General features: G+C 45.5%; 1 protein-coding gene across 13 annotated transcripts in view, besides 5 other annotated features; it reads left to right on the top strand.

Annotated features, from left to right (window-relative positions):
* Positions 1 to 18,732, top strand: part of HIPK2 (homeodomain interacting protein kinase 2) — a 216,429-nt gene that overhangs the window by 50,373 nt on the left and 147,324 nt on the right. For 12 of the 13 annotated variants that reach the window (XM_047420265.1, NM_001113239.3, XM_047420260.1 and 9 more), the window contains one exon: positions 10,611 to 11,694. In XM_047420265.1, coding sequence (XP_047276221.1) covers positions 10,611 to 11,694 — 1,084 coding nt within the window. Of the gene's footprint in view, positions 1 to 1,658; positions 8,777 to 10,610; positions 11,695 to 18,732 lie in introns of those variants that run through there. The other variant, XM_011516081.3, reaches the window with a different exon arrangement.
* Positions 6,502 to 6,796: a silencer, noted in NCBI's record as "tiled region #6205; K562 Repressive non-DNase unmatched - State 20:ReprD". NCBI's record gives its function as "represses a minimal TATA promoter and a strong SV40 promoter by Sharpr-MPRA in K562 cells {active_cell/tissue: K562}" and the evidence as "EXISTENCE:reporter gene assay evidence [ECO:0000049][PMID:27701403]".
* Positions 10,510 to 11,010: an enhancer, noted in NCBI's record as "H3K4me1 hESC enhancer chr7:139416415-139416915 (GRCh37/hg19 assembly coordinates)". NCBI's record gives its function as "activates a minimal SCP1, AML or CMV promoter by ChIP-STARR-seq in naive H9 embryonic stem cells {active_cell/tissue: H9 hESC(naive)}" and the evidence as "EXISTENCE:reporter gene assay evidence [ECO:0000049][PMID:30033119]".
* Positions 11,011 to 11,511: an enhancer, noted in NCBI's record as "H3K4me1 hESC enhancer chr7:139415914-139416414 (GRCh37/hg19 assembly coordinates)". NCBI's record gives its function as "activates a minimal SCP1, AML or CMV promoter by ChIP-STARR-seq in naive H9 embryonic stem cells {active_cell/tissue: H9 hESC(naive)}" and the evidence as "EXISTENCE:reporter gene assay evidence [ECO:0000049][PMID:30033119]".
* Positions 12,725 to 13,214: an enhancer, noted in NCBI's record as "active region_26768". NCBI's record gives its function as "activates an Ori minimal core promoter by ATAC-STARR-seq in GM12878 lymphoblastoid cells {active_cell/tissue: GM12878}" and the evidence as "EXISTENCE:reporter gene assay evidence [ECO:0000049][PMID:35858748]".
* Positions 14,925 to 15,751: an enhancer, noted in NCBI's record as "NANOG-H3K27ac hESC enhancer chr7:139411674-139412500 (GRCh37/hg19 assembly coordinates)". NCBI's record gives its function as "activates a minimal SCP1, AML or CMV promoter by ChIP-STARR-seq in naive H9 embryonic stem cells {active_cell/tissue: H9 hESC(naive)}" and the evidence as "EXISTENCE:reporter gene assay evidence [ECO:0000049][PMID:30033119]".

The following is an 18,732-nucleotide window of genomic DNA, read 5'->3' as shown; positions in this document are numbered from 1 at the left end:
TTAGCAGCTTGCAGAAAGAGAATTAAGTCTGAACATGTAACTCTGACAAATAATGAGTCAATAAGTAGATAGATGTGTGGAGAATTTGCAAATGTTAGGAAAAGGATGTTTTCTCAATCAAAGAAACACAGCCTATGGTAGCATTTGCAGATTCAAGGCAGATGACATAAAAGATTTTGAACGTTCTTAAGAGAACCACATTTCTTGGAAGAGCAGGAGGCGTGACATGGTGCATTTGGTTCTCTTCCCAGGAGAGCACCCTTCTTTCCCTGCTCCTGACCCTGTGGGAAAAGAGGGCTATTGGCTCATTCCCAGCCAGGCTCTGCCACTCTTTCTCTGTTTTCATTCTCCTGGATCAATCCCTTAATTGTGTTTATCATCATTTCATCCTTGATGTTTCCCTGTGACTCATATTGTCCTCCTCATACTATTTGACAATGTCTCTGCCCCCGAGGATTACTTGATTTGCCATCTGCTCTACTTTCTACAGCATTTCTCCTGGGAAACAGCTTTACCCACGGGGACTCCATTTCCACCGAGGTGTTGATGACAGCCTTCAGGTCCACATCTCCACCCATGACCTTGCGCCCATTCCCTAACCTGGCTTTTTTCTTGTTGCATATAGAACATTTCCTCTTTGTTGTTACTAATGCCTAAAACAAAATCTGCCCCAAACCAAGCCCTTCTAGCTGGCCTGTGCTCTTACCGTCAGCAGCACCATTCTCTTAGTCCCTTTGGGGCATGAACCTTTGATTTAGATCTTTTTCCCATTTGCTATTTCTCATTCTGGCCTTCTGGTCTTTTGGCTGTGTCCCTCTGTCTTTGGCCTTACCCATGAACTAGTTCAGGGTCACCTTGCTCTCTTCCCCTTCCAGTTAATCCCATGCAGGCCCAGCCCATCCTATTGATTTCCATTCCCTTTTCAAAGTGGGTGATCGTCATTCACAATTCAACCTAGCAAGTAGGAACTGGGTGCTGGTTAGGAAAGACCATTAGCTCCTGACACTTCAGTAAATTAAGCAATTTCTTGCCTCAGAGTTTCAGTATGAATAGCTGAACACTGGACATTTCAACGTAGATATCCCGTTAGTGCTCATAATTCAACATGTTGAAAACAGATTCTATTCTCCCCTCCCCCAACACTTCAACTCCACTTCCCATCTTCCTTCTCACTCGTGGAGCCCCACTCCTTCTGGCACCCCAAATGTGTTCTAGTCCCCTCTTTCCTTTGCTCTCACATCTCATCTGTCAGCATGTCTCACCTTTTCTCCTCTGCAGAGTTTTATATTTCTGCTGCTTCCTGTTTTCTCAGGCAGTTCCTTAGTCCGGGTCCCCCTTACCCCTCTGGACCAGCTTTCCCATTGGCTGAGCACTTGCCCAAGCTCCCTTAGCCCGGCTCTTCTTACTCAAGGCCACTTCTCTGCACTGACCCCCTATGCATCAGATAAGCAGTGGTTACCTCTTTAAATAGGTAAATGTATTTTATTTTAATCATTTCTTATGGTTATATTTCTCAGATGTCATAACCAGAAGACACAGAAATGAGAGATGACTCAGGGTCATTGTTGTTGACATCCACTATTTTATCAGGTGACGTATAGTCAGGTGCGTCCTGTAGTTTCAGTCTGTCTTCCTTCACTTATCAGCCCTCATTTTTCCTTTGGCTGGTGTGGGACTCATCTCGTTGTTTGGTGATTGTAGTCTGAGAACCTAAAGAATGAAGAAGTTTGGCTGGTGGCATGGATTTGGGAGTCAGGCAGACCTCAGTTCAAATCCCAGCCCTGCTAGCAGAGGCGAAGTGACTTTGGACAAATTATAGCTCCATTTACTCATCTCTAAAACAGGGAAACACTGTAGTTTTGTTGTATCGAGCAAACACCTGGAGTCTGACATATAGAGAGCAAAGGCAATCAGGACAGTCACCTACCACTTGTTGATGTGTTAGATGGCAGCCAGTGAGAGAGAAGGCGAAAGGAGAAATTAGATGAGCAGCTCTCATGGTTGGGCTTCCCCCCAGCTCTCTGAGTATTTAGAAATTACTTCTAGAAGATAGAAGTTATCAGAAGATGACAATTCTGGATAACTAGGTAGTTGTATACACAGTGCATACTGGTGGTTATTTATTGCTTTAGCATTTGTTATTGTATTGCCACTATGCAAACGCACCTCAGTTGTCTCCAAGCAAAGCCTGAGCTTTCTAGTACAGAGACCGCAGTGCTGGCCGCTCCCGCCATGAGTCTCACTCTCCTGATGGACTGAAGTACACTCTGTTTGCAGGATTTGGAGCACTAGCCTTCTGCCCCATCTTTCTAATTGCAGCTTGAGTCTTAGTTCTGCTGTGAAACTTTGCCTGACCACAATGCATAGTGACTCCTGCCTCTAAACTTCTAGTGTTTACTTTGGCAAGTTGTTTATGTTGCCTTAGAATTACCAGCTGTCCTTTTTAATTTGCATTGTACTTGGCAATCCCCATGAGATTCTAAGCTCCTTTAGGTCGGTGACGATGTCTTAGATGTCTTTGTGTTTCCTGTTGTGCTCAACCCTAATCTTTTTTTATGTAGAGGACCCTTAATACAGACTTGATGATTGATTTTATTTCATGTTTTTTGTTTTTTTCAAATGCCCAGTGCTGCAATCAGTAGTATTGTTATTGTCATTATTGACAAAAGAATTCTGTATGGCTGCATAGTATTCCATGGTGTATATGTGCCACATTTTCTTAATCCAGTCTATCATTGTTGGACATTTGGGTTGGTTCCAAGTCTTTGCTATTGTGAATAGTGCTGCAAGATGAAATTGGAAATCATCATTCTCAGTAGACTATCGCAAGGACAAAAAACCAAACACCGCATGTTCTCACTCATAGATGGGAATTGAACAGTGAGAACACATGGACACAGGAAGGGGAACATCACACTCTGGGGACTGTTGTGGGGTGGGGGGAGGGGGTAGGGATAGCATTAGGAGATATACCTAATGCTAAATGACGAGTTAATGGGTGCAGCACACCAGCATGGCACATGTATACATATGTAACTAACCTGCACATTGTGCACATGTACCCTAAAACTTAAAGTATAATAATAATAAAAAAAAAGAATTCTGTAGAGCTTGTGGTTGATCCTAAGCTGTGCTCTGGTGGAATATACTATATATTTAACATTGCACAACTAGTGGGTAAACAGACATTGATTGAAAATGGTATAAAAGCCCCAGGGACATTCAGTATACACTGTTTTGGAAATGTATCATTTAGAATGGGCTAACCTGAAATTATCTGTGTACTCCTTGTGAAATATAAACTTAATAAGCAGGATTATTAAAACTTTATGAATATTATTTAGTATGTCAATGAAGGAAACTTTCCAAGTACTTTTTGACCCCCTGAGGTATTAGATCACCATGTCATCCAGGGTTCTCAGGGGTTATACAGATTAACCCTTTCTAGGTGTTTAAAAATGTCCATTTAGATGCATATTTCCAACATTCATATATTTTTGACATATTCTATAATTTTGTTATGTCTTATGTGCATAATCTATATTAGACAGATATGGCATTTCATTAAATATGAGAATTAATCCTTCCTTTGAGTTCTTTATTATGAAAAAAAAAAAAAAAGATCTGTAGCATCTATTAAGTACTCATTATTCAGCCAGAGCTTGTGTCCAGAAGATTTTAGGAAGTAAGGAAGTTAGTACCTCTTAAAATCAGGTGTTCATGATTCCATTCTCTTGAATAATATAACTGGATTCTGAGCGGTAATCTGTTTTACATCTGCCAAACCCAAATTAAATATTACATACCGATAAAATTGGTGCCACTATTTTAGAGATCACCTCCCTGGGAATCAGGGCTTGAGCTTTGCTAGAATTCAGTGAAATTGAATTCAATTTATTTTTTTTTATTGTAGTTGAACCCTCACTCATCCTTGTAGTCTGATCTTCCAGTAGATAATTTATTTAGGGGTGGTGAAATGGAAAGGAAATGTTACTCAGATATGAAGCAACTTTTCAGTTCATCTAATTGTGAAATATAAAGTTATGAAGAAACTAAGTAAATAGTGGGGGGAAAATATGCTAAATGAGCCAGTCCCTTAACAAATGTCATTTTTTAAAAAACTGTGTGAGTTGGCTGGGTGCAGTGGCTCACGCCTGTAATCCCAGCACTTTGGGAAGCCGAGGCAGGTGGATCACCTGAGGTCAAGAGTTCGAGACCAGCCTGGCCAACATGCTGAAACCCCATCTCTACTAAAAATACAAATATTAGCTGGGCGTGGTGGCGCACGTCTATAATCCCAGCTACTTGGGAGGCTGAGGCAGGAGATTCGCTTGAACTCGAGAGGCAGAGGTTGTGGTGAGCCAAGATTGCAGCATTGCACTCCAGCCTGGGTGACAAGAGTGAAACTCTGTCTCAAAAAAAAAAAAAAAAGAAGAAAGAAAAAAACCGTAACTGTGTGAGTTAAGACTTCAAGAAATCATGAAGATTTTTAGATATTCTTATTATTACATTATTTGTAGCCCCAGACCAATGAATTTCTCATTAAACCATTAAGACAAAGAGAAACCAAAAGGTGCATAGAATTACATAGGTTTGAAGCCGGGCATGGTGTTATGCTCCTATAGTCCTAGCTACTTGGGAAGCTGAGGCAGGAGAATCATGTGAGCCCAGGAGTTCGAGGCTGCAATGAGCTATGATTGCACCACTGCACTCCAACCTGGGCAACAGAGAGTGAGATCCTGTCCCAAAAAAAAAAAAGAATTTAGATCTAGGTTTGAACTTCTGGGGTCAGGGTCTGATTTTTTTCACTTATCACAGAAGCTTAAACCCATCACATGACTTCCCAGTTTTCAAAGTAGGACCTTTGTGAGAATGAAAGTAGGGAGGGTGCTCTGAATAATTGAATTGGCCTAACAGGGTAAGCATACGTCCAACCGGCAGTAGGACGTATGCTTACCCTGTCCATAAAACATCTGTCCTGGAGCCTGCTGTGTACTTAGTACTCAAGATTTTAAAACCTGGAGACTCATAAGTGTTTTAAGAATCCTGAGGAATAGCAGATGAAGTCAAGTCTAGCATTTTATAGACATAAATGGCATCTATAATTAAGGCTAGAAGGCAGATGTTTTAAAAATAGTATTTTGAAATGCAGACTTGCATACATGCTTTTTATAAATGCAAAATGAGAATTTCAATAAAGTAACTAAAAGAAGGGTCAGAACCCTCATTGCCTTTAGCATATCAAAGTGCACCCTAAGTCTGGGTAACCTGGATTTGTTTCGGCATGAGAGACTTTGTCAGCTTTATGGTAATAAGGAATAATGTCTTACAAATAGTGGACTTTAATTCTTCTAACTATAGCATATATTTTAATGTCAGTTTTATAGGTGCTATTTTTCATTTGTCATATGCAATGAAGAGTTTATTATATATAGTTGTGTAATAGAAGTTGTTTTAAATTTTAATAAATTTGTTCTTCAGTGCTTTTTACTTATCACTTCTGTAGCAACCACATGAACTCGTGTCTGTGTAATTAACAAGCATGTAAGAACCCCATGCATATCTGAGATTCAGTGTTTATGACTTCAGCCTGTTTATGAGACAGAGTGGTATGGTAATAGGCATGCTACTTGTTAAAAGCTTTAGTTCTAGGTTATGGTGACTCCCTGTCCTTTAGTGAATGAAAATGTGGCCATTTTGACAGGTTTTATCTTGGGAGGCCACTAAGGCTTTTGTGGAAAAGTCTGGGTCAGGTCATTCCTGTAGGAGCAGGTGTGGTTATGGCAGATTTATCCTACCGTGACCTCCTGGGTTCCTCTTACTGCTCCCCATGGGCTCGAAACTTGCCCTCCCAAGTCCAGTAGTCCCCCTGGTCTCTCACCTAGAAGGAGTAAAATCCGCCTTCTCTTTCAAGAGCCAACTAGGAAGTGCAGAGATAACTTAAAAAGCAGTTGAGATTTTGCCATTGGATCAAACTGACAATGTGCATTAAGCCTCTGTTTTTCCTGAAAAGGATATTGACAAATGAGGCGGGAAGTAGCCTTGACTAGTCCAGAGGTCAATACAGAAAGAAATGAGAGGAGACATTTAGCTTTTACTTTCAAGTGGAAAAAAACATTGAGTCCCCCTCTGCACCCCCACTTTATTGTCCCTCACTTTAGGATCTGAATAAATAGAGAAGTAATACGTTGTGGGCTCAACTCTCTGAAAGCTAAACTAATAGGGAAGGTTTGTTCCAGAGAAATACTCTCAAGGAGAAATGTTTGGAAATAAGTGTGTTGCCATAAGATTATTTTAAGATTAAGCTACAAAACCACCAGCAGTGTCTTATTCCTTATGAAGGTATTTCAGGGATTTAAAAAAGTATTACTGTTAAAGACTTTAACTATATCTTGTTGGAGCATTTTGCTGCCTGAAGCAAAGTGGCCTCTGCTACAGAACAAAGGTAACACGTCTGCACTGAGCGTTGGGTCCAGTCATTGGAATAGCGGCTGTTGACTTCATAAAGGGGCAGCAGGGGCCACACCAGGCCAGGCCGGAGTCTGAGGCAGCCGGCTGTGGTGCAGGGTGTTTCCAGCCATGTAGGCCTCCTGTCTGATCCTGGGCATCTGTCATCAGAGGCAGCCAGTGATGATTTCCACAATTTTATGACCCTTGGCTGTCATCCCAATAACAAATAAGTCATAAGCCACCCTCTTCCCCTCTGTAAAATTCCACTTCTGCACCGTGGACGGCCTTTCCACCAAGATCTTTTTGAAACAGTGAAAACAGAGACTAGCACCTCACCTTCTTTATGTATGAACAGCGTATTTCTGCTGTCGCTCTCTCTGACCGCCCCCTTCCGGGTACTTAAAGACTGAAAAATAAGCAGCAGGCTTGACACGAAAGGATGAAGGAAATGGCTGTTTTGCTTTGACTCTTCAGTGGCTAAGTTACTGAAAGCCAAGTAATTGGTCATTTCTATATTGTATACAACATCTAGAACAATATGGATATTCACTTGATACTGATAAATAGGGAATAGCCATATTCTGTGTTGTTCTAGAATAAGGGGGATGTTGACTTAGAATAAGGGGGATGTTGACTTGAACAAAAAGAACAGTGGGAAGAAACGGGTGAAGTACGGATTCTGAATAAGCAAGCCAGAATAGTCTTGTCAGGCACGAGGATTCCTACAGACGTGCAGTCACAGTGCGTAGATGGAGGTCGGAGCTCAGGATTGAAGCAAGAAGGGAACACCCTCCAGCAGATCCATGGGCCCAGGGTGGAGGTGGGGCTCCAATCAGGTGCTGGATGTTAGCAGAACTGCCCCTAGGAAGTCAGAGCTGAAGTCAGATGGTACATATGGTAAGTGCTGTAGGAACAGTGAGTTGGGAATGATCACTGGGTTAGAGTGGTCTGGAAAGAGAAGGAATCTAAGCTGGCTGGTCTTTGGATAAGTTGAGAAAAGCAGCAAAGGCATGCCAGGTAAAGGAATAGTGTAAGAGTGTGAAGATAGGAAGTATAAGAGACATTCTAGAAACAGCGAATAGACCAGCTTCATTCAAGTTAAGGACCCAGGAAGGTTAGTAGAGCTGGAGCTAACAAGGTAGTTGGAATCAACATGTAAATGTATCGAGTTCTCAGCTTTATCTCCTTGACAGTAAGGAGCCAGTGGAAGTTTGGAGAGGGGAGTGGCATGCTCAGAGATGTTTTAGGAAGATTAATCTGGTAGCCAAATATAGGCAAATTAAAGGGAGACAGAGTGCTCAGGTAGATGAGATGTCTAGATTTGCTTTAGTCCTTCTAGAAAGTGATAAATACATTCACTGTGGAAGTGGCAGCAACAGCAGAAATAAAGAATTGGATGCAAGAGATGTTTTGAAGGAAGGAGAAATTAATAAGGCTTAGCACCTTCTTGTCTATGAATGTAAAGAAGAACCATCATAGTTCATAGTTTTGGAGCCAAGTGACTAGAACAGTCATGGAGATGTTAGGATAGAGGGTGAGATGGCTAGATTTTTAGGAAAAAATAAGGGGTTCAGCTTTGGAAGCGCATCTTTGACATTGTAGCAGGAGGCTGCAATATATCACTGTAACCTCTGAGGGAGAGCCCAGCCTGTGATAAACATGTGGGGGTCACCTACACAGAGGTGACGGCTTAAACTGCTTGAATGGATGATAGCTGCCAGAGAGAACAGAGTCAAAACGGTGGAAATGCCAACATTTGAAAGGAGGAAGAGGGCTGGGTGCGGTGGCTCACACCTGTAATACCAGCACTTTGGGAGGCTGAGGGGAGTGGATCACTTGAGATCAGGAGTTTGAGGCCAGCCTGGCCAACATGAAACCCCGTCTCTACTAAAAATATGAAAATTAGCTGGGCGTGGTGGCGCACACCTGTAGTCCCAGCTACTCAGGAGGCGGAGGTTGCAGTGAGCCGAGATAGCACCACTGCACTCCAGTCTGGGCGACAGAGCAAGACTCTGTCTCAAAAAATAATAATAATAAAATAAAGGAGGAAGAGGAACCACCCGAGCACACAGTGTGCAATCAGACACGGGATGGGGAGATTACAGATTCACTGAAGTCCAGAGAAGAGCATCAAGAAGGAAGTCGTGGTCAGCAGTATCAGATGTTGCAGAGGTTAAGAAGAACGGGCTGAAACAAGGCCATTGGATTAGGCAATTAGGAAGTCATTTACCTTCAAGAACAGGAGCCTATAGTGCATTAACGAGTTGGGGGAGATGGATTAAGATGTGGGCATTGAAGAAAAGGGAGCATAAACCATTGATCACAGGTGAGAGGAGGGAAAGAATTAAGAGGGGGGAATGCGGCTGTTACTCCTTTTGCCTTCCATGTTGGGAGTTTGTGTGTGCACGCACATGAAGGCAGAAGAAAAAGATGAGGTGACCGATTCATTTGGACAGCCATATTAAGTTCCTACTAAATACTTGGATCCAATTAAGTACAGGGAGAAATGGAAAGCTACAAGAGAAAGAACAGTGGTGGAAGCAGGTTCAAGAGAAAATGGGACAAATATGGATCATGAGAATCGGGAACTTTTTTAGTATTGGAAAAGAGCAACACCTCTTTCTCTCAGACTGGAGAGAAGGAATGAAGGATGGAGGATGATGTAGATTCAGGAATGTTCTGAAATGAAGAAGGAAATAAAGGAGGAAAGTAAGGCTGACCTCAGGCTTCTGGACAAAGTGGAAGTTGGGTCATCTACTGAGAGAGAAGGTGGACTAGGGTGATGGTTGATGGAGTGGAAAGGATTACCACTCTAGGTAATGCCAGGGGCTCAGAGAGACAGGAACACTAGGTTAGCCAACCCCCAACAGGGCTTGCAGAAGCTGCACTTCCTTGTGCTTCTGTGAGAAATGTTTGTTGATAGTGGCTTAGAAGATGGGCAATGTTTGTTACTCTTTTAACCTTTAAGGAGTTATCCTTCATCACCTTATTATTTTTGCTTAATATATTTTCTATGAATTTTTGTTTCAGTATCACCGTAATTTGTACAAGTGTTCCAGAATAACGGTCTCATAGGTTTCTAAGTTTATCTAAATTGTGGATGAGATGTTGGTATGAAATAATAGTACTTCTGGCCAGACACGGTGGCTCACGTCTGTAATCCCAGCACTTTGGGAGGCTGAGGCGGGTGGATCACCTGAGGTCAGGAGTTTGAGACCAGGCTGGCCAACATGGTGAAACCCCATCCCTACTAAAAATTCAAAAATTAGTCGGGCGTGGTGGCAGGAACCTATAATCCCAGCCTTTGGAGGCTGAGGCAGGAGAATGGCTTGAAACCTGGGAGGCAGAGGTGGCAGTGAGCCGAGATCATGCCATTGCACTCCAGCCTGGGTGACAAGAGCGAGACTCGGTCTCAAAACAAAAACAAACAAACAAACAAAAAAAAACAAAAAGAAATAGTACTTTCTAGAGAAATGTATTGATATATGAATTTAGCAGGAAGCGTGAGTGAATGGAGCCATGAATTGTGCTACCCAGTCCCCACCAGTAAGGCTGATAAAATGTTTTATGCTGTTGAAATGAAAAACGTCAGACCAACTGCTGATCCACTAAACCCTACAGAATCGATGACAAAGATGCCAGCTGGTAATTAGGGTTCATCCAGGATCCAGAAGATCCTGAGTGGCCTGGTGATGGGGCCTGTGTGGGAAGATGTTTTCTCAAACCAGTAAACTTGACAGGGTCTGTGGACAAGGCTGAGCTGATGATGTGGGCAACGAAGTACGTGACAGCAGAGCCTCCTGAGTTTCAGTAGAAAGCAACCCAGGGAGAACTGAGGAAGAATCCATTTCTGTCACAAGTAATGTTTACAAAAAAAAATGGTGACCTATGTCCTGATATTGGAATTCTGTTTCTGAGTCTCAGCTGTGTTGCTGGCACCTAATGGTGGCAAGTGGCACCCTGGAACCACTTGGTTCCACAAACTCAGTGACCAGAATGTGCTTCTGGGTGGAAGAGATTCACTTTTTCAACCTTGTTTTCAAGTGGGAGGAATATATTCTGTATGGCCCAAGCCACAGATGAGAACTGAAGGGGATCTGTTGAGTTTACTTGTACCAAGGTGACTCCGATACTTACTTTTCGTTTTCCTTTCCTTGTAGGTATGGCCTCACATGTGCAAGTTTTCTCCCCTCACACCCTTCAATCAAGTGCCTTCTGTAGTGTGAAGAAACTGAAAATAGAGCCGAGTTCCAACTGGGACATGACTGGGTACGGCTCCCACAGCAAAGTGTATAGCCAGAGCAAGAACATCCCCCTGTCGCAGCCAGCCACCACAACCGTCAGCACCTCCTTGCCGGTCCCAAACCCAAGCCTACCTTACGAGCAGACCATCGTCTTCCCAGGAAGCACCGGGCACATCGTGGTCACCTCAGCAAGCAGCACTTCTGTCACCGGGCAAGTCCTCGGCGGACCACACAACCTAATGCGTCGAAGCACTGTGAGCCTCCTTGATACCTACCAAAAATGTGGACTCAAGCGTAAGAGCGAGGAGATCGAGAACACAAGCAGCGTGCAGATCATCGAGGAGCATCCACCCATGATTCAGAATAATGCAAGCGGGGCCACTGTCGCCACTGCCACCACGTCTACTGCCACCTCCAAAAACAGCGGCTCCAACAGCGAGGGCGACTATCAGCTGGTGCAGCATGAGGTGCTGTGCTCCATGACCAACACCTACGAGGTCTTAGAGTTCTTGGGCCGAGGGACGTTTGGGCAAGTGGTCAAGTGCTGGAAACGGGGCACCAATGAGATCGTAGCCATCAAGATCCTGAAGAACCACCCATCCTATGCCCGACAAGGTCAGATTGAAGTGAGCATCCTGGCCCGGTTGAGCACGGAGAGTGCCGATGACTATAACTTCGTCCGGGCCTACGAATGCTTCCAGCACAAGAACCACACGTGCTTGGTCTTCGAGATGTTGGAGCAGAACCTCTATGACTTTCTGAAGCAAAACAAGTTTAGCCCCTTGCCCCTCAAATACATTCGCCCAGTTCTCCAGCAGGTAGCCACAGCCCTGATGAAACTCAAAAGCCTAGGTCTTATCCACGCTGACCTCAAACCAGAAAACATCATGCTGGTGGATCCATCTAGACAACCATACAGAGTCAAGGTCATCGACTTTGGTTCAGCCAGCCACGTCTCCAAGGCTGTGTGCTCCACCTACTTGCAGTCCAGATATTACAGGTAAGACCGTCCACAAGGAGACAGGAGCTGCTGAATGCCCAGTGGCACTCACAGAGAATGTGCCACCTTAGTCACTGTGGGGAGATAAAATTATATGTCTACAGTTCCTGCCTTCAAGTGATCTTAATGTACTTACGAAATTAGGACATGTGCACATTGCGATGTCAATTAGAAGTCACATTAGAACGGAGCCAGGTAAGATCCGTGGCACAGGTGTTCAGCGTTGGAAGGGCTCCCTGGGACCTGGGGTGCAGAGCAGAAGAGTTCCGTCCTCCCGGATGGGTAGGATCCAGACAGGTGGTGGAGAGAGAGGGATGTGCCATCCACAGTCCGCAGTCACACTAGTGGGAATTTACAGGAGACAAGAAGGACACCCGCCTGGCCAGAACAGTTTGTGAGTGGTGGGAGATGTGAGTGAAAGCCTGGTTGGAACCAGGTCACTGGGGGTCTTAAATATCAGATCAAGGAATTGCAACTGTATCCTCAAACCCAGAGCAAGCCCTGGAAACCTTGAACAACATAAGGTAACGGGTTGAAAGGGATGTTCCGAGAAGGTTCCTTGTCTATCCACGTGCAGAAGGGCTGGAGGAAGGGAGAGACTAGTCTGGGGCCAGCTGGGTGGCTCCTGTGGTAAGGTGACTTCAGGCTTTGGGTCAGGATGAGGGAGGAATGATAGTGTCCGTGGCAGGGAAGTGTGTTCAGTCATGGACTCACACATGCAGTCATTCAACAAGCTTTGATTTCACTTTTAATATGTGCCAGCCGCAGTGCTAGGTATAGGGATATAGACAGGGCCCTTGCCATCCTGGGGTATCTGGAAGCTTTTCAGGGACCCCTGTATGCAGTCAGGATTGGAACCGCTGCCGACATGGAGCTGAGATCGGAGTGCTGGCTTTGGAGTCAGGAAAGGCCAGAGTGAACCTGGTCCCTCCTCTCCTAATGGCCTGATTTCTCCATGCCTTCATTTCCTAACCCATGAAGTGGGAGAAATCCTCTCACCAGCCTCGTGGGCAGCTGGGAGGTAACATGGCTGTAACATGGCTTAGGTGTGTCACTCCGTGGCTGGCCATGGCGGGTGCACAGCGGGGAGGCGGCAGGGATGGAAAGCAAGACCCTGCTCTGTGGAACCAGCCTGGGGGTGTGTTTGGGGTGGTGCCGAACAGTGCAGTGGAGATAGAGGTCACAAGAAACAAAACTGAAACTCCCATGAGAAGATGGGACGGATGCACATTTAAGAGCGTGCCACGTAGGCAGGAAGACCGGGGTCCCCGGAGGCCATCCTGCTTGCAAGCAAGCACGCTCGCTTGCCCGTGTGCTTTCTCCATGCGCCTTTCAAGGCCACAGAGAGAAGGCTGGAACATGCCCCAGGGCCTTGTCGACACAGCTGACCTGTCACCCATTCCTGGGGCTGACCTGGGCCAGCTTCCCCTTCTTGCTCCCTGTCCGGGCCCCCATCCTGGCTGCAGGCAGAGCTGTTGCAAGTCTCCTCCCAGCCCCTCCCTCAGCCTGCTGGGCACCAGGCCCTCCTTCCCTGGGAGAGCAACAGCCCCTCCGTTCGGATCCCCAGATGCCCTCCCACCTTCCACCCCGTCTCCTTTCATCCTAATCCTGACTCACACAGGAGGTTTCGAGGCCTCTTCACCCATGCTGTTTCTGTCTCTTCCCTCTTCCCTTTAGGAGGCATTTCCTGAGTTAGAACAGCTCTCTGCGAGCCTCTTCTCTGCCCTGCCCTGAGGATTCCTTTCCCGCTCATTTCCTATGCGCAGAAAGGTCTCCACAGGCCTGTGCTTTCACCACCAGGCCCCGTGCGGACAGACGGGTCTACTGCTGCCCCTCCACTTGCTCTCCACTCCCTCGTCCTGACCAGGCCATCCACTCTGTGCCCCGCTGGCCCCAGAGCCAATGGCAGGGAGAAGTAAGCCCAGGGCAGGAGCCTCCAAGGAAGACAAGAAGCCTCTCCTTGTCTCCAGAGGAGAAGGATGGGCAATGGTTGAGTGAATCTGGAGGGTTGGGTGCCCGGTACCGACAGCACATATTCTCTGTAGAGAGTGCCTGGGCCTCTGAAAGCCAGCTCTGGTGGCCGTCCCGGGTACCAGCCCCATTGGGGGCTAGCTGGTGCTGTGCTGGCTCTGGGAGGCTGCTGTGCCACTTCGTATTTAGGTTGGTAAATTCAGCATGCCAAAGGCTGGCTCTTTCTAGTTCTTGGCCTGAATTCAGGGTGAACAGCCCCTGACTTGGCTGCTAGGGCTTTTATGTAGTTCATCTGAATTGCTGCATCATGAACACGTACCAGTGTTATTAACATTCACTGAAAGCTAGCATGGCGACTTGTAAAAAGACTTCGACAAACTCTGTTTAAAAGGCAGCACATCCTTAGAGCGAAACTTGGTGAATCGAGTAAGCTGAATTGGGGATTCTTAAGACCCCCTTGTCATCTTGCCTTCTGGTGCCCATGTGACGCTTCCTGGAGCCCTCCCTGCCCATCCCCTTGGACTCTGCGAGTTTTTCTTTGCTTTCCTGCCTGGTGCTGGTGCCCCTAGTGCTGAGGAGACAGGTCGCAAAATCGGGGATCCTAGCTCAGGAAGCCTGCGGCAGCAGTAAAAGTTTGCCTGTGAGGGTTGGGGAGGGCTGACTCCTTCACCTGGACTCACAGCGATCCTCTCCTGCCCCCCTCTGTGGGTGAGATCAGGCCTTTTGGACGCCTCTGGTGGGTGTGGTAGGCTGGTTTGCTGGCGGTTCCTGGGCCCTCAGGAGCCCTCTTTTCCCCACTTCGTGACAGGCACAGTCACATCTGGCCCCTGTGTCCCCACATCCCTCTGAAGGACCCTCCGTTTAGTTGTGATAGTACCCTCTTTTCACCCCTGAAATCACCATTGCCTAAAATTCTGAGCAAGAAGGCCTCTTTCTCCTTTCTGTGGTCACCTTCAGGCCCTCATGTCAGCCTCCCTGTGCCCAGCCCTGGTTCCAAAAATACGGTCAGCAGGAAAGACAGCGGCTCTTCTGCCTGAAATGAGGCTTCATTTCTAAGTTGGTGCAATGTTCTGTTTCTCCCTCAGGCCTTGTCTGAGCCCTGCAGTGGTTTGCCACCATATAGATCGATCCGATTTTTCGAGGACAGTCTCTAGTGCTCTGTCTCTTTTCGTCCCAGCTGTGTGGGACAGCCAGCTCTAGGCCATGTTTATCAAGTTGATTTTCCTGGTGGCTTTGCCTCTTATAGGAAAGAAAGGGGGCAAGAAAAGCTCTTTAATTGTCCATCGTTAAGGCCCATGTCCCAGAAAGAAGACGCTTTCAGATGCTTTCAGCTGCATCTGCATCGTGAGGGAATGGCTGTGTGTTTGAGCCGCCTGGGCTGGAGGAGTCATTGCATGCTGTGCATCCAGCCTCCCAGCAGGTTGGCCTTTGTCCTGCAGGTGGTGGGTGGGGACTTTCTCCCCTCGGCCCCCTGTATCTGAGCTGGGCACATTATCGTCCCAGGACATCTGACTTTCAAAAGGTAGAGTACTTATGTGTCCCTCTGTCATTTTGCATGGGACTGGGCTAAGTGTCTCATCCCACCATTGTCCCCACCTAGTGACACAGAAACGGTGTGAGACAAGGATATGTTATCCTCGCCTTGGGGACTTGGAAAAGGAGGTGGTGTCCCCGGAGCCAACTGTTTTCCCCAGCTCTCAGGCATGTGCCTGGCCACAGTGGCTGTTGGTATTCTGTGAGGCAAGCCCACTGGTGTGTTTTTCAGGAAACAAAGGCTGCTTTTTAAGTTTTTTTCTCGAGTCTGAAGCAGGGGTATTCCCTTCCAATTCGAAGGTCAGTTATGTCATTAACTGTCAGCTGCCCAGGTTCTCAGGCTTTACTGTGCACAGGAATCTCCTGGAGAGGTTGCTGGGAACAGAGTCTCCCTGGGAGTACCCTGGGAGAAAGTCCACACCCACCACCACAGAGACTTGCCTCAGAGAACTGGAGGTGAGCCAGGCAGGGGGTCTTAGGACCAGTCTTTGAGAAACACTATTCTGAAGGACAGAGGGATTTTCTTAATGGTGTCACCTTTCAGGTGTTGACACCCAAAAGAACAGAGTTGCAGGTAATCCTTGCTTGTATTACTTCACCTTGGGCGCCCCTGCCCTTTTGTTATTTAATTCTACATTGATGCCAGTTCATTTTGTTTGTTTTTAGTTTTTTTGTTTTTTTTTTGAGCAAGCAATAAATTGGTACTGGGGTATTTCCATTATCAGCAGAACCAGTAAACTACAAATAAGACCAAATGTTAAACTCCACTCTCAGAAAAAAACACAAACAAAAAGACATGCCATTCAGGCAAAGGGTAATCAGTGATTAAAATATATAGATTTTTTTTGGTTTCTACTCTGGATTATTCAAAATATTCTTGTCTAGAGTTTTTTGAAACACGTAGGACTGTTACCAGGACCCAAAAATTGAACATAAAAAATTAGGACATGAAAAATAGCAAATAATCCACTTTTTCAGAATAATCTAACCTTTTTTTTTTGAGACGGAGTCTTGCTCTGTCTCCCAGACTGGAGTGCAGTGGTGCGATCTCGACTCACTGCAAACTCCGCCTCCCAGGTTCACCCCATTCTTCTGCTTCAGCCTCCTGAGTAGCTGGGACTACAGGCGCCCATGACCACGCCTGGCTAATTTTTTTGTATTTTTAGTAGAGATGGGGTTTCACTGTATTAGCCAGGATGATCTCAATCTCCTGACCTTGTGATCCGCCTGCCTTGGCCTCCCAAAGTGCTGGGATTACAGGCGTGAGCCACCACGCCCAGCCTTTTTTTTTTGTCTGATTCTTTGGGGTGCAAAGACTGTCTTCAAGTTGATTTCATGGTGGTTTTAGGTGGGGGTGTGTATTATTCCATTCTTGCATTGCCATAAAGAGCTACCTATGACTGGGTAATTTATTAAAAAAAAAAAGGTTTAATTGACTCACAGTTCTGCGGGGTGTATAGGAAGCATGGCTGGGAGGCCTCAGGAAACTTACAATCATGGAGGAAGGTGAAGGGGAAGCAGGCACATCTTATATGGCTGGAGAAGGAGAAAGAGAGAGGTGGGGTAGGTGCTACATGCTTTTAAACAACCAAATCTCGTGAGAACTCACAATCACAAGAACAGCAAGGGGGAAGTGTGCCCCCATGACTCAGTCATCTTTCACCAGGCCCCTCCTCCAACGTTGGAGATCACAATTCAACATGAGATTTGGGTAGGGACACAGATCCAAACCATATCAGGGTGGAGATTAATTTTCAGTTCAATTCATCAAACATTCATTACTGAGTGTCCCGTAGTAGATATGTGCTCCAGAGTGCAGAGGGTAAGGCATGATCCCTAATCTTGCAGAGTTCACAGTCTCTTTGAGGAGATGGAAAACACAAACCAACTGCCAAGACTGTCATTCTGATGCTTCAATATTTTAAATGTTTGGTCATTCAACAGAGATTTATTGTGAACCTACCTTCTGCCAGACTCTAGGGAAACAATGATGAGCAAAGCCAGTTCAAGAAATTAAAAGTCAGTGAAAGATTTTGCCAGATGGGTTAACAGGGAAGTTAACATGAGATAGGGATGGGGAAGTCTAGGGGTCATGGAGACTGGAATAAATAAGGGAAGATGGGAGAAATGATGGTGACTCCTTAGACAGTGACACCTGGCGGGAGTCGAAGGCCTGTACTGGAAAATAATAATCCGGTGAGTGAAGCCTGACAATAGAGAGTTTTGAATACAGGCTTGAGGGGCTTGGGTTGAGCCAAAGTGCCAGAGCTGGGAGCCATTGTAAATTCTGGAACAAAGGAGAAGTTTAATGAAAATTAATGATGGTATAAATCAATTGGAATGGCAAAGAAAAAAAAAAGTTGTGGGGATGTTTTGAGAGCCAGAGGCTAGGAGACAACTGTTGTTACTCAGGAATGAAGGGATGAGGCCCTAGATTATAATGGGGGGTTCTACCCCCCGATAGTATGAATGTGGACATTGTTAGTGCATTTAACTTTTCCGATGCTTTGATTGCAGAATTGACTTAGAGGGAATAGCTTTTTGTTTATTTTGCTTTCTTTTGTTTAATGACCTTGCTGTCTCTAAGGCTCAGTTCTGAAGCTCCAGTCTTTCAGAGCCTAGTTTCAAATCCCACCACTGCTATAAAGAAATAGGCTCTGAAAGGAGAAACCAGAGACCTTAGCACCAGTCCTAGCCCTGCCCCAAGCTGTGTTCCATTGAGTCACGGTCAGTAGAATGTCAGCTGTGACTGTCCACACTCCTCCATCTGGATCCCATTATGACCTGGGCCTGTGTTTATGAGGCGGTTGGCCAGAATTGGTGGTTCAGTCTGTGGCCAGGGAGCAGTTTTCTCTCCTGTGGGTTGACCTTGGCCTCATTAGCTGAAACTGGGAACCCTCCATGATCCCCTGATCAACAGAGAACAGAGCATATTCTAAAATGCCATGCTCTGGGCTGGAAATATCAATCATTTCAAAAAGGGGCATAGCTTTATAAAGCCATAAATATAAGTCATTTCAAAAATTGCATAGCTTGTGCAGATTACAGCATATAGAAAGTGAGTGACTAGAAGTTAGGTTTGATTGAAAAGAGGGTCTCTGAAAGCAAGTGCATCGCAGGCATGAACTTTTAAAATTAATTTGTCTTTTACTAATAGAAACAACAGGAGAAGGTTCTAGTTTGCACTTGAAGATATGAAGTGAACTGTTCAACCCACCGACAACTTCATTTGCCCAGGGAGACTGTTATAAATACGTACATGTATGCGTTTCGGGTTGCAGCTTCTCTTTTGAAGAGAAGTAATCAATAAGTTATGTAGGCTGTTAGGTTATCTTCAAGTTTCCCTTATTCATCTCTGGGACCTTCAGCTGTATGGTAAAATACTTTGCAATTAAAATTTCTCTTAATAAGTATTATTATTTAATTATAAGTATGAAATAACTGAACTGGAATGCTCTGTGTATACTGCCCTGGTACTGCAGTCCCCTCTTCACACACACACAGGTGCACACACACACATGCACACACACAGAC

This window comes from Homo sapiens, chromosome 7 (genome assembly GCF_000001405.40).
Source record: "Homo sapiens chromosome 7, GRCh38.p14 Primary Assembly".
Classification (NCBI taxonomy): Eukaryota; Metazoa; Chordata; class Mammalia; order Primates; family Hominidae; genus Homo; species Homo sapiens.
Note: the sequence above shows the minus strand (reverse complement) of the source record. Positions and strands in the feature narration are given on the sequence as shown.